General features: G+C 36.6%; 1 protein-coding gene across 37 annotated transcripts in view; it reads right to left on the bottom strand.

Moving 5' to 3' along the window:
- Positions 1-15,774, bottom strand: part of CNTN4 (contactin 4) — a 959,094-nt gene that overhangs the window by 303,540 nt on the left and 639,780 nt on the right. For all 37 annotated transcript variants that reach the window (XM_017005783.2, NM_001350095.2, XM_047447536.1 and 34 more), the window contains one exon: positions 8,723-8,898. In XM_017005783.2, the coding sequence (XP_016861272.1) occupies positions 8,723-8,898 (176 nt within the window). The remainder of the gene's footprint in view (positions 1-8,722; positions 8,899-15,774) is intronic.

Below are 15,774 nucleotides of genomic sequence, written 5' to 3'. Positions count from 1 at the left end.
TTCCCTACAGCAGGCAGGTAGCCAGATTTTGTTCAAAGATTTAATTTTACCATTAGCAATTTGGAAGTACTTATGTATGACTTACAGTCATCTACAGCCTGAGATGATGAGTAGCTTAAGTCTTTTGCTTTGCAGATCTGAACTACTACAAGAAAGTGAAAATTCCAGGATGAAGGCCCCAAACAATGTTTATAAAGTAATCAGTTTGACAGGCTAAAATCTGGAGTCATTAGATATTAAGATTATTCTCTGGGAAGCTCTTCATAATAATCTACATTTAAAGTTCATCTTTCTCACATGTAGGGGAGAAATGATATGGGAGTAAGAAGCTTATACAAATATTTCATTTACTGCTTGGGGATAAACAGTTTACCAACCAGTTATTCACCATAAAATATCAATATTCAAAATGCTTTACAGCCTACTTGCAATAAATTGGAAATCTGCATCTTAACTTTTAGAGCAGAAATATTGTTATTAATTATTCTCATTATAAAACCTGAAACCAATTATATTAAAATTAGAGTCCACAAATTTATGTATAGTCATTGCATGTAACATTATGCTTTTAGATGTTCACAGTAAATCAACAGTATGATGGCATCAAGAATACCTACAACTAAAAAATTAAAAACAAAAGCAAATATATGATGGATGTACTTACTATATCAAAGATTGTTAATGCAACAAAAAATTCAAGTTTGTGTACAAAGGAAACATTTCACCAACCACCCAAATCTACGGATTGAACATAAATTTCACTGGTAAAGTGTAGTTTTTCACAGCATAAGGGAAGCCATGCATGTAAAATGCCATATAACAGGCATCTGCTCAAGACTCAGGTGACCAGGTTCCTATGCTGGTCCCTTCTCCCACTGCTGTATCCTTGGTGAAAGTTATTTCACATCATTAATTTTCATGTTCTTCACCTATAAAATAAAAGTAATATCTGTGCTTCATTGGGTTGTGTTGAGAACTAAATGGAATAATGCTTCCAAAGTGCTTAGTATAATATCCAACATAGAGTATTCACATTATAACATTTATTATGCCCTGACTATTTGCTAAACAATGATCTAGGAGTTTAACAATTATTAATGGATTTGATCCTCACAACAAAGGAGGTAAACAACCTGGGGCAGAAAAAAGTACCTTGTTCAAGCTCACGAAATTATAGAAGCTGAATTTGAATCCAAGGAGTCTGACTCCAGGGCTTGTGCTCTTATCAACTATACTTAGGTATACAATGGTAGTTATTCATGTGATCCAGCAATTCCACAACTGGGTATATATTCAAAAGAAAGGAAATCAATATATCAAAGATATATTGGCACTTTCATATTTATTGCAGCACTATTGACAATAGCCAAAATATGGAATCAACCTAAGTGCCCATCAATGGATGAATGGATCAAGAAAATGAAGTATACATACATAATGGAATATTATTCAGCCATAAAAAGAATGAAATCCTGTCATTTATGGCACCGTGGATGAATCTGGAGGACATTATGCTAACTGAAATAAGCCAAGCAAAGAAAGACGAATGCCACATATTCTCAATTGTATGTGGAAGCTAAATAAGTTGGTCTTATTTAGTAAGACAGAATTAGAGTAGACAGTAGAAGAGTGGTAACTAGAGGTGGGGAAGGGAGGAAGAAGGATAGGGAGAGACTGGTTAACAGACAAAAAATTACAGCTAGATAGGAGGGATAAGTTCTTGTGCTCTCTAGTACCACAGGGTGACTACAGTTAAGAACAATTTACTCAGCTGGGCACGGTGGCTCACGCCTGTAATCCCAGCACTTTGGGAGGCCGAGATGGGCAGATCACCTGAGGTCAGGAGTTCGAGGCCGGTGAAACCCTGTCTCTATAAAAATAGAAACATTAGCTGGGCGTGGTGGTGGGCGCCTGTATTCCCAGCTACATGGGAGGCTGAGGCAGTAAAATCGCTTGGACCCGGGAGGTGGAGGTTGCAGTGAGCCGAGATCGTGCCACTGCACTGCAGCCTGGGTGACAGAGCGAGACTCCACCTCAACAAACACACAAACAAAAAACAACAAAAAACCAATTTACTCTAATTTTCAGAAGAGAGAATTTTGCATGTTCCCAACACAAAGAAATGATAGTTTAGTTGCATGAGGTGATGCGTATGCTAATTACTCTGATTTGATCATTTACACATTGCATACAGGTATTGAAGTATCACACTGTAACCCATAAATACATGCAGTTACTATGAGTCAATTAAGTTTTTGTAAGTGATAGTTATTTTAAAAAGACAGGACATGGAGGGACAGAAAGGGGAATGGAAGAGAGAACAGACAAAAAAACACAGAAGCAGTTATTGTATAACTTTCCTATGTTGGAAATGATTCTGGGATTTTACATATGCTTTACAATGTAATCTTGCTAACAACCTTAAAAGGGAAGTGTAGTGGTATTGAGAAGCTGGAGTTCTAGAGACACAGGACACATAGAATGAAATGGAACAATTAACGACATTTGATTCCCTCTAAACTTAGTCAATATAACATCTCATCTTCTCAAGCCCACATTCCTAAGTTAAAAAAAAATGAGGATTTGTATTGTTTATGAGTGTAGGGGTGTGTACTGAAATTTATTTTTTTAAAATAAATATCAGTGTTTATATGACAGAGAAAAGTTGCTGTGTTGAGTGACTGTGCACAAAGATCCTCAAGCAGATTTAGACCGGGATGCTGGGCTGCAAAAGTGGGCAGCTAGGGTGATGGAGCTATAGCACTTCATTCTGTATAGACACAAGCTCTGGAAACATCCCCTTCGTTAAGCTGTGCAAATAACGAACTGAAATCCCCTCCTCTTTAGGCCTTATCTTCTGATTTATTCGTCTATGGAAGAACTTTTTGAAGTATTCAACTTGGTTTTGCTCCTGGACGAAAGGGAGTGTAGAGTGAATGAAGGTTGGGGAGGTATGCTTAAGCTCAAAGGAGCTTTCCTTTGAAACACTTCATGAAGCTGTGCGTAGTCTCAGGCTGACTTTCCAGGGTAAAAGCGAACTTTGAGGGCTTGTTTGATTCATTCCATACATGAGCATCTTTATTTTTTTTATTTTTATTTTTTGAGACGGAGTCTCGCTGAGTCTCTCTCTGTCGCCCAGGCTGGAGTGCACTGGTGTGATCTCGGCTCACAGCAAGCTCTGCCTCCCAGGTTCAAGCCATTCTCCTGCCTCAGCCTCCCGAGTAGCTGGGACTACAGGTGCCCGCCACCATGCCTGGCTAATTTTTTTTTTTGTATTTTTTTAGTAGAGATGGGGTTTCACCATGTTAGCCAGGATGGTCTCAATCTCCTGACCTCGTGATCCACTCGCCTCGGCCTCCCAAAGGGCTGGAATTATAGGCATGAGCCATCGCGCCTGGCCATAAGCATCCTTTTAATGTGGGCCAACGCCTGCCACACCAATAGAAACACTTATAAGGAATTAAGATGTCAACTGTCTTCTGTATCAACCTCAAGGTGAGAATGCTTGCTCTCACCTCCAATTCACTCCAAAGGACCATCAGAACGTGCTTGACTCAGTGGTTCAACTCATTCCTTATGCCCCACACATGGCATGATGACTTTAATGTCTAATTCCTATTCATTCAGCAACCATTATTTCAAGTTTATTAAGTGCCAGGCACAGAGGATCTAGTCAATCATATTTGTAGCCCTAGGTGAAATAGAAGGGCTAAAAGGTAGAAAGGGTATGGTAGTAGGCTAAGTGACAGTGAGGGGAGTGATTGCTGATGGCTTAATGCTGCAGAGAGACTGAAAAACAAAATGTGCTCCCAATTACATTACAATAATGTATGCTTATCCATATCTCATCAAGGGGGACTTAAATTATGCTATCCTTATTTAATCAAAGAAGGATTTCTATTTTAAATATATTGACTTTAAAAAGTGGGAGGAAGAGCAAGTTCTTAGTGGTCTCATCTCTAGTTAGCTATAAATTTTGCTTATGTGAATTAATTCAACTTAAAAATGCTAAATGCTAATACAAGACATGACTAAGTTCTGTGCACAAAAGCAGCATGAAAACATTTTTAATAATCAATAGAAATAATGTCTACCTTATAAGACTATCTTCTGAATAAAATTATAGAAAGTATGTAAATGAGATTTGAAAATTGTAACATGGTAAATAAAGTGAAGGTTGTTTTTCTCATAAATTAGAGTAAATCTAAAGCAAAGTAGGGCCAGCATGCATGAAACTGGGAGCTGAAGACTGCCTTTCCTTGGCTCTGTAGCTTCTTAACTATGTATTAACAATGAGTAATTCCGTTACTCTAATCTTCAATTTCATTTTTAAAAAGATACAGGCCAGGAGACCTTTAATGTCTTTTTTAACCATAAAATTGTATGATTAAAGAGGAAGAAATATTCTCACTTGCATGGTATAGTGCAGTAAGTGTGGCCAAAAAGCAACATTTTTTTTTCCTTCAATGAGTATGACAATACGTGGAGTCAAAGAAACTAGTAACATTCAAAAGATGTCACTGTCTTGCCTCACTTTTATTAATTCACTGAAGAAAAGGATTTTATCCTAATCAATTGAAAGTGAATTCTGAATATAGGCAATGTCTTTTGATTTTCTTTTAATTTACAAAAGATAGGGAAAAACATCTAGAAACTATGGATCAATGATCAAAAAGATAAACTCCAGAAAATTACAAGAATAGAAAGGGTGGGTTTGGGTATATAAAAATACATCACCCTCAAATTAACTTTATACATATATTTTCTTTGTTGTGTTACTGAACAGGCACGTAACACAGGAATTCCTTTATTCAAACATATAAATGGCTAGGAAATAAAAGGATGGACAAGATAGTCTCAGTTCTCTTAAAATATACGTTCTGCCATAGGAGTGAAATAATAAATGAGAAAAAAGTAAATACACAATCATTCTAGATTGTATTAAATTCTGGTAAATGAGCTGGGCAAAGTGTAATCTCACCTTGTTGGGAGGCTGAGGCGGGTGGATCACTTGAGATCAGGAGTTCGAAACCAGCCTGGCCAACATGGTGAAACCCCATCTCTACTAAAAATACAAAAAAAAAAAAAAAACTTATCTGGGCATGGTGGTGTGAGCCTGTAATCCCAGCTACTTTGGAGGCTGAGGCAGAATAGCTTGAACCCAGGAGGTGGAGGTTGCAGTGAGCTGAGGTCGCACCACTGCACTCCAGCTAGGGCGACGGAGCAAGACTCAGTCTCAAAAAATAAAAAAACAAAAAATTCTGGTAAGTGAAATAGAAGATACTGTTATGTAAAAGTAGAGGGCTGGAGGAAGGTCAGCAGAGAGGAGGAGAAATGATGGAAATTGCTTGTTATGTTAGACAGGGTGACACGGAAACTTTCTCTCAGGAGGTCATACCTAAATTGAGAAGTGAGGATCATAAGAAGTCAGCTGTGTGAAAGATCATGAGAAAAGCTGATCAGGCAGAGGGAACAAAAGTATCAAGATCCTGTTGCAAAAAATAGTTTGTCATTTTTGAGAAATTAAAATGAGACCATGGTAATGAGTTTGAGATTTATTCTAAGTACAGTAGAAGGCATAAAGCAGGGAAGCGGAATGATCTAATTTACATTTTTTAAAAGATTACTCTGGCAGTTTTAGGATAAATGGTTAAGGAAAGGCTCAAGACGATGCAGACGGAGCAGGTAGGACTGGATGTTGCAGAAACAATACATGTTGATTTTAGCAAGGCTTTAGCAAAGATTCTCACTACTTTAAAAACACGTGGATGAAATTGGAGTTCGATTATAGTATATTTGGCTAAATTTGTAGCTGGTTGAACAAGAGTGTCCAAATAATATTAAATTAAAGGTTTAATTTCATTTTAGTGGAAATTCTCTAGTGACATGCTGCCCTGTCCTGGTCAACATGTTATATCAATTATTTGAATGGAGATATGCTTATCAAATTTTCTGCTGACACTAAACTAGGAGAACAATCATTATGTCTGATTGAAAAAAAAGACTTAAAGCAATTTCAGATATGATGGAACAAAGGGTCACTACTCAGAACATGAATTTATTAGGGGTAAATACAATATTCTGAATTTAGGTTAATAAAACAACGTGGTTGGGTAGCACTGGATGAATAGGAATTTATAAGAAATACTTTCTCAGATTTTACATGATTATATGTTTAAAATAAAGTTGCAATCTGGGGCTGGTACTTAAAAATGAAGATTAAATAAATATTATTGTCAGCTTCATTAACTGAAAAAAGTTCACATCATGAGATACTACTGTCCCCAGTGTCCTTTGCAAAAGTTAAGACACATATATGGAATTCTGTGCATTTCCATAAGGCTGCAATAGATGAATTAACATAATTGAGTGTGTTGTGAAGAAGATGGCTGTGGATTAATTAATTGGGAAGAAAAGAATTATGGGACAAGGGACATGATCATATCTTCACATATTTGAAGAGTAACCAGCATCTTTAAAGTAAGAATTGGGAGTGAATGTGATAGAAATTGAGATATTTGGCTCAATTTTAAGAAAGAGATGTCAAGTTTGTTTTTGTATTTTTGAACAAGTAGAGCAGTCTGCTGTGGGCCAGGGTGCCTCGTGATGAATTGGTGAACTTTCTGTCACTAGAATTTTTCAAACCAAATGATGATCAGCCAAGGATTTTGAGGGTGGGAGGAATGCCTACATCACACATGAAGTGGAATGAGCAAAGTGGATTCCATTTCCTGGTAGGTCCTCAGGTCAACCCACCACGAACTGAGTGGTAGAGCTTTTTGTTTGTTTGTTTGTTTTGTTTTGTTTTTTGTTTTGGTTAAACTATTCTATGTAAATGACTGTCCTTGAATATGAGATTCTATCTTTCTGATGTTTTGGTAGTAAAATGCCCGGTCTTTTACAAAAGGATAATCTTAAGAGCTGGTAATTTTTTTTTTTTAAATGTAAGCTGTCAATAAAGAAGTTTGGGTATAGTATTTTATTTTTTATTTTTATTTTTATTTTTTTTTTTAGACGGAGTCTCGCTCTGTCGCCCAGGCTGGAGTCCAGTGGCGCCATCTCGGCTCACTGCAAGCTCCGCCTCCCGGGTTCCCGCCATTCTCCTGCCTCAGCCTCCCGAGCAGCTGGGACTACAGGCACCTGCCACTGCGCCCGGCTAATTTTTTGTATTTTTAGTAGAGACGCGGTTTCATCGTGTTAGCCAGGATGGTCTCGATCTCCTGACCTCGTGATCCGCCCGCCTCGGCCTCCCAAAATGCTGGGATTACAGGCGTGAGCCACCGCGCTGGCCCAGATACAATATTTCCATCTCCATTTTTTTTTTTTTGGTGTTATACTGTGTTAAACATTTCCTACACTATGACATCCAAAATTCAAAGAATTACAAGATTTACTAAATAATGAGATTTTCCCGTACTCTGAGAGTACATGATCCTATGGTTATTTCCAAAAATTAATTTAGCAAGATTTGTCATTACTAAAAAATCAATATAGATACAAGACTTGTATTAAACCAAGAGAAAGAAACACTTTGGTTCTGTTACATTCAATCACACATATTATTCTCCTATTATTCTAAACACCTACGAATATTTAGAAGACTATCTCAAGAGACATTCACTAACAGAATAATCCTGGAATCTCGCATATACATAATACTTAGAAAATTCATTTCCCAACTTATAAAAATGCCACCAAATGGCATTAATAGATTAGGAACTGGATATTAGGTATATTGGATGTTGAGTTCCTGGAGAGGATTTTGTTAATGAGAATATTCTACAGTGTTACTGCCAGCAGACTTTATGAAACCTTTGGCTAATGCCAAAATTCACTGCTATATGAGTTGGGATTTCACACAAGGAAATATATAATCACATGCAAATACATAAACCCTTAAAAATGTAGCTGAACCTCAATCCTCAAAGGTGGCTATACCCAAATGTATGCTAATTGCTCTTGCCTATGGATTTTATTTTCAAATTGTGATTTCTAAATTCCACTTTCTTTCATATATTCATGGACTTTTGTTAAATGGTGGTCTTAAGACACGGTTATTTGTTTTTTTAAACATTTTAAGCTGGAAATATCAAAGGTGGATAACACTTTGTCTCCATGTTTTTGTCATTATTACAGTTGCTTTAAATTTTTTCAACTCTGTGAAATAGGAAACAATTAGAGAATTGTAGGATTAATTGACTACTGAGTTTTTTTCCAACTCTCACCTTTATCGTTAAAGTATTTCTCTTATTGACTCTACTAAATTACTGGCAGCTCAATTGCTCGCTTATACACATTCTATTTAAAATGTGTGTGTGTGTGTGTGTGTGTGTAAAATTTGTTCAATTGCTTGCTTATACACATTCTATTTAAAATGTGTGTGTGTGGGTGTGTGTGGGTGTCAAATTTGTTGTTTACATAAATTTATACATGTGTCAATCTCAGTGTGTGAATTTATTTGTATATAAAGAAAGCATCATATAATCAAATTATCATACAATCAACTATCTCAATCCTTATCGAAGTAGAAGAATACATCTTCTCACTTAGATTTACAGTTTATCCTACAAATAAAATTGTTTCCAAAATGTGAAAAAGAGTAAAGATGATCATGTAACCAATTAAAATCTAGTCTCTAAAATGAAACTGCTATAAAAGCTTATTGGTATAATGGTACACAAACTGAAAGCAACATTTGCAGCATTGTATAATTGCTACTTACAAGCAAACTGAAGCTTTGCTTCTCTGCTAACAATTGTTCCAAACGAGTTTGTCGCTGTGCACTGGTACGTTCCAGCATCTTGGGTTTTATTGGGGTTATTGATCAACAAGCTCCCTTCAACAACACTGTAGCGGAAATCCATACCAGTGTCAACATCTGTTCCATTTAACTTCCACCTATAGTATAAAAATGCCAGTAGATAAAGTCTTGTCATATTAATCAATATTTCTGAATTGTCTAAAATATATAAAAACTATAAATAGCATGAAAAATCATTTGTGACTTTTGTAAAAAGCATGATTAAGAAGTTAGAAATGCTCTACCCAGCAATGGTGACATCTTAAGTGCTTATATGGAAAGAGCATGTCTTTTAAAGTAAACAATGATATTAAAATTTTTTTAATATCATTAAAATGTTCTTCTGACTACTTATGATGCTACAAACACTTCACTGTTTTGAAGGCGGGCCACAGATTTCTCATAGCACCTGTGCAGCTTTCTTCAAATGGGGCTCCTCAGTAAAAGTCCTTCTAGTTTGCAATCATTCTTTAAATAGGTCTATACAGATGACAGCATATACTATTTCCAGGTAGATTGCTAAGTATCTGATGAAATTGCAGCAGAGTTGCTTTGATTTGGTCCTTAATATGACTGCAATGGCTGGCTGCAAAGCAGAGGAACTATTGATCTTGAGCTGCTGTGGGGACCAAACCTGCTTTAACCGTGGATCACTTTGAAGAGCTCCTTCACCACCGGCACACAAACATCAATCAACCATCCCAGCAAACTGCAGATTAGGCTATTAGGTTATCGGGGCAAAGACAGGTTTTTTGTTTTTTGTCCTTCTGTTTATCTACCTGGATCACCTATGTATGTGACTAGAGTATTTAGCCCAGTAAAGCAGGTTTAGTGGGACCCACACATTTTAACAGCGAAGTTTTGGTAATAAGACCTATGTTTTTGTTTTTATTTCATTTTACAACCAATACCATTCCAAAGAGTGAGAGCTTCTCTTGACCAAATCTCCTTTCAGAAGTCATTTAAACACTTCAGAACGTTTGCACTAATATAACTCAGTCACTATCCGATTCGTTTACCCCCACAACTCTTACACAGAATATTAACTAACGAAAATAGCATAGTAGGAGTTTGTGAATTACCAAGAGTATCACAGCAGCATTCACACCAGAATGTTAAAAATTAAGAGATACAGCAGCACAAACAAAACTGATCCAAATCCATAATGAGAGTAAGGAATGAGAGCCATTAACCTTATCTCCTTTAAATAGTAAAAATCACCATTTAAATATTTGTGTGTGTGCACATGCACATTCACTGTGTATCATCTTATAACATTCTTGGGTACTGTGGTTGTCTGTACATAATGTAAAAGGATTTACATGAAAAAAATGTACGTGAGTTAGTTTCAAGATTTTGGATGTCTGGTATCAACAAAAGCAAATATACAGAAGGGTAATCCCTTCTTTTTGTCAAGACCTCTGTCCCACTTCAAAGCCATTTTGCAGTGACACCCCTTTCAATGAAGTCTTCCTTAGTATTTCTAGTCAAAATTAACCAAAGATGATTAAGCACGGTGGCTCACGCCTGTAATCTCGGCACTTCGGGAGGCTGAAGCAGGCAGGTCTCTTGAGCCCAGGAATTTGAGAATAGCTTGGGCAACATGGCACAACGCTGCCTCCACAAAAAATACAAAATTTAGCCAGGTGTGGTGGTGCATGCATGCTTGTAGTCCCAGCTACTCAGGAGGCTGAGGTGGGAGGACCACTTGAACCTGGGAGATTGAGGCTGCAGCGAGCCAAGGTCACACCACTGCAACTGCACTCCAGCTTGGGCAACAGAGCGAGACCTCATCTCAAAACAAAAACAACAAAAATTAACCAAAGCTTTGTCCAATCTCCTACGGAATTGTCCATGCTCCTTTATGTAGGAATGCTGCTTTTACTGTAGATAATTTACCTAAATCACTTTTGTATTCTCACTTTAGCCATCTAAAATCTAACACTCTCATTGTGCTCCATAAATGCTGGTTGAATTTAATTAACTAAATATTTCACTTCTTTGCTGGATATTTTAGCTTTGAACATCCACAATTTATGAAGCATTCCAGCACACTACCACATAGCAACACATGTTTATTCATGTCTTTGAAATGTAACAATTTAGAAACAAGAGAGGTAAGAAAGGTAGACCAGGAGCATGAAATAGAAACATGAGGTACCTCTTTATGTGTTTGTATATAAGAAGATTGGGATTAGAAACTGACAATGTTTTTAGTCTCCACAGTAATTCTCTGTGCTCTGACACAGACAAGAAAGTATAATAAAGACAGAACAGCCAGGTTATATTCTAGCAGCTCTATGTGCACATGAATCTCTAGAACTGACTGTCTGCCCTAGACATTTTTTTTTTGAGTCAGCTGATCACGTCTTGACCATAACTCTTACTTCAAATGATAGTAGAGCAATTTAATATGACAAATCTAAGAACTCAAAAAGGAAATCGCAACATAATGTGAGCTGCAAGCAGAGTGTGGAATTTAGGAGTGGGGCCATGTGAGTCTTTTTAGAAAAGTGGTTGTGGGCATAATGAGAGCTCCTCTGTAGGTTTTCCTACACTAGTCATCTCAACTAAAATGCTGTGCAGAAAGTCCATTAATCTACTTTATCGCCTGCTTTTACATACAAATAGCAAACGAAAAGGGATTATTTAGAAAATAAAGTGCTTTCTCCGAAATGCAGTTGAGTCTCTATTACAAAGCGCTATACCAAGTTTTATTGCAATGCAGTCACTGTTCATTCCAATTGAATGTGGATTGCACTGAATTTCTTATCTCACTGTATACTGAAACACGCTTGAAAATTTCACAATTTACTTTCAATGTGTGAGGAATCTTTTAAGTGTTGGTAATATAGAGGCAATGCTCATTTGGAGCCAATAGAGATTTTCCCAAGGGACAAGAGAAATTTGTGAGTCTCATAAGCTGATTTCTGAATCATTTGAGGAACCACGACTCCACTCTCTCCAGAGAGTGGGGTTGTGCACAACCAAACACCGATGCTGTGACACTCTGGAGGGTAAAATGCTGTGGCTTTGCTGGGAGGGTATCTATAGGATTCGCTGTAGCAAAATCCTCTTTCTTTGTTGATGGTGTCAACTTGGCACTAAGGGAAGGTCAGGGCATTTATGACTTGGAATTTGTTTTCTGCCAACTCAGTTGAATACAAACCTCAGCAAAAGTACTCCGACCAAGTGAGTGAACATTTCTTCTATCTGGAAAGGGATGCTGAGTGCATTAAGTAATGTCATATGTCCTTAGGGAAGTTTAATATAAGGGAAGTTGGCACAAGTTAAAACTTCTTAAATTTTTCTGGGTCTGGGTCAATCCTTTCAAAATTGAGGGGCAGGAAACAATGAAAAGAGAAGGCTCAGTTGAGGGAATAAACACAAAGAAGAGAGGTCAGTTGCGGTGTCTGAGGAGAGAACCTAGTGCTGAAGATCCCCATGGAGACTCACTTCGGAATTTCTTCTACTTGTTCTTCCCCCTCAAATTCAGCCTGAAGACTGAAAAAGTTCAGGCAGAAAGGTGTCTGAAAATACTTGATCTCTCCATTCTTTGTCTTGCTCTTTCTTTCAACAAGAGGAATGCTTTAGCTCCCAGGTACCAGTCTGCTATTATGTTACAGAGACACTGCCAAAGGCATAAAGGCAAGAAGTATACTGCAATAAATTGCTAGTGCATTTGATTAAAAAGTTTTGTTCTCAGTGTTTCCTGGAAATCTAAAAACATAATAGGTTTCTGTTTCACTGCTTGCTTTAAATAACAAGGCAAACTCCTATATCTAGAAACACAGTGTTACAAAAGCAATGTTAATTAAAGGTCACAGTTTGGGGGAAAACAAAGCAGCACTTGCCAAATTCTGCTGCAAAATGTGTTTTCATTTACGGCTAACATCTGACCTTACACTTGGCTACGCAAGGCAAACAAGGACCAGTTAACTCATCATGTGTGTACCTAACAGCCGTTGCTTCCTGCATTCTTTACTACACAAAGTATTTAAAAATCTTTGATTTAGCCTTGGGTTTAATATATTCTAGGGAGAGTAACTATTCATTCTGGCTTGCCCAAGACAAGTGCTTGGTTTACACCTGCTGTCCTAGAATAATTATGAACAGCGGCCTTCTGCTTTAAAAAGTGACCTCAGATGATAAATTACATGTTCACCCTAATTATATGGTCCATTAGAGAGTTGTTGTTTTCTTACTTTCTGGAATGCACTTCTTTTCCTTATCCATGTGATGAAAGAACCATTCACCCTCCAAATATATTAAAATATCTCCTTTTCTGTGAAGACTTCAGTGACATCTACCTTCGCCATCCTGAATTAGACTTTCTTTCCTCCAGAATACCTAGAACTTGGTCATCCTTTACTTGTAGTTACATCATTCTACTCCAACTACGTCCACATCTAGGCAGTCCTCAAATTAACAGTACTAGTAAGCATGTTGTAGAGTTGATTAATCTTTGAATACTCAGACCTAGCATGCTGACTGGTACATTGCAGCTGCTTAATAGAGTGGTTTAAATACTTTGTCTATATGACGTATTTTTCAGAATCCTAATATATGGGCTAGTTCAAAGTAGAGCTGCAAAGGCTGAATCTTGGATGAAAATTCTGTTATTTTCTTTCTCTGGTGATCTTTAAGCCAATTCCATGTGCCCTGGAATTCTGTTTGAAAAACACTGGTGAGGTTTGAAGGATGAATAATGAATATGTTTGATAAATGAACAAATGGATAAATGAGCATGTAAAGTAAATTCTAAAATAATATCCACTATACTAATACTGCCGTCCTTTAACTTGAATACAATGTCCTTTACCCTCTGCCTATTTGAAAATTACTTATCTCAGTTCATATCCCATTTCTTCTGAGAACCCTACCTGATGACTCCAGTCTCTCCTAAACTATGACATATATATTTGTTTTTTACATAATATTAGATAGTAGTTGTTAAAGTTTTTCATTATCAAATTTGAATAGAGGCATAATATTTATAAGATGTATGTAAGTTATAAAAATCATAAGCCAATGAAGATCTGTGTTTAAAAGTGATATTATTACTTTAGAAGTCTGCTGTATCTACTTTGATTATACCACTCCTTCTTAATGGTTAATTATAATCTTTAATTTTGGCTTTTCCATTCCCGTGATATTCTTTATAATTTTATCATGTATGTTATCATTTGAAGGAGTTCAGAGCATGCCACCCAAAAATATGCTGCTCTGGCATACTGACTTTTATTTATTTATTTATTTAGAGACCGGTTCCTGCTCTGTCACCCATGATGGAATGTAGTGGTGCAATCATAGCTCACTGCAGCCTGGAACTCCTAGACTCAAGCGATCTTCCCACCTCAGCCTCCTGACTAGCTGAGACTACAGGTGTGCACCCCCATGGCCAACTAATTTTTAAATTATTTTTGTAGAGATGGGGGTCTTGCTATGTTGCCCAGGTTGGTCTCAAACTCCTGGCCTCAAGCCATCCTCCTGCCTCAGCCTCCCAAAGTGTTGGGATTACAGGCGTGAGCCACTGTGCCCTGCCTATATTGACTATTTTGAGTTAAAGGTACTTGGGGGAAAAAAAAAGGTACTTGGAAAACAGCAGGTACAAGACGACCACTTTCACCTTCATTCTTTTTCTAAAAAGCAAGGATAAAATCCCCATGCCAAAGATGTCCTTTCTATATTAGAAGGAAAGTAACGTTCTTTCCATCAAGGACAGGAAGTTGAGACAGAGAAAACTCTGTCCAGACCTTGTTAAAATATTTTCTTCTAGCTCCCCACATAACTTAGTTACTTTTTCACAATTTACTACTCTTTGTCCAATTCAGTAAATAAATGTGCAACGATAACTGCATCTCTGGGTTTTCATTTTCTTATGAAGGCTTCCTTGCCATGTAAAACTTGTATTAAATAAATATGTTTTTCTCCTTTTGATCTGCTTTATGTTAATTTAATTCTCAGGCTTAGCTGAAAAATCCTAAGAGAGGAGGGGTAAAGTTTTGCTTCCTCTGTTACTTCCTCTATACCTTGAACAACCACTCCATCTCAACCACTTTCAAATTTTATGAATATGAAATTACATACTATGCATTTGGCTGTGAACTGGTTTACTCAAAATTATGTTCTTGAGATCTACCCATTTGTTGCAGCTGTCATTCATTCATTTTTACTACTGTATGAGGTTACCTTGTACGAACATACCAGGTTATGTGTATTTGTGAATATACTATGAACATAATCATATACACTGGATCATAGAGTACGTGCACCTTTAGCTTTACTAGGGAGTGTTTTTTTTTTTAATGGCTTTTACCAATTTAAATTGCTACCAGCAGTGTTCAATCAAGGGTTCTGTTTGCTCTTCATCTTCACCAACAGATTGTCAGTTTTCTAAATTTGTCAATCTGGTAGTTTTGAAAGAGTATGTCGTTGTAGTTTTAATTATATATTTCTGTTCACTAATGATATTGACAATCTTTTTATGTTTACTGAATTTTTGGTTTTCATTTTCCTAGAAATACTTGTTAAAGTGTTTAGCTAATGTTTCCACTAGGTTGTTTTTTACATTCTGTTTGTGGAAATTCTTTAAATAGTCTGGATATGAATCCCTTACCCATAACAAATATACTTAAAAATCTTCTTCAAGTTTACAGCTTGTAATTTTGTTTATTTCAGTATATTCTATTGAACATAAGTTTTCAATATTAATACAGTTAAATATTTTCTTTTATAAGTTGTATTTTTTCTGTCATATTTAGAAAATCTCTTCCTTCCCCAAAGTCATAAATATGTAAACCCATCTGCTTTTAAAAGTATTGCAAATTTCCCATTTAGGTCTTCTATACACTCGGAATTGATTTTTGTGTATGCTGCGCAGTAGGGTTCCAATTTTATTTCTTTAACCATATAGACAATCCATTGTCTAGTACATCTTTTAAAAATTTGTTTCTAATGTTGTCATGAATTTT

This window comes from Homo sapiens, chromosome 3, assembly GCF_000001405.40.
Source record: "Homo sapiens chromosome 3, GRCh38.p14 Primary Assembly".
NCBI classification, from domain to species: Eukaryota; Metazoa; Chordata; class Mammalia; order Primates; family Hominidae; genus Homo; species Homo sapiens.
This window is presented reverse-complemented; position numbering and strand designations above follow the sequence as displayed.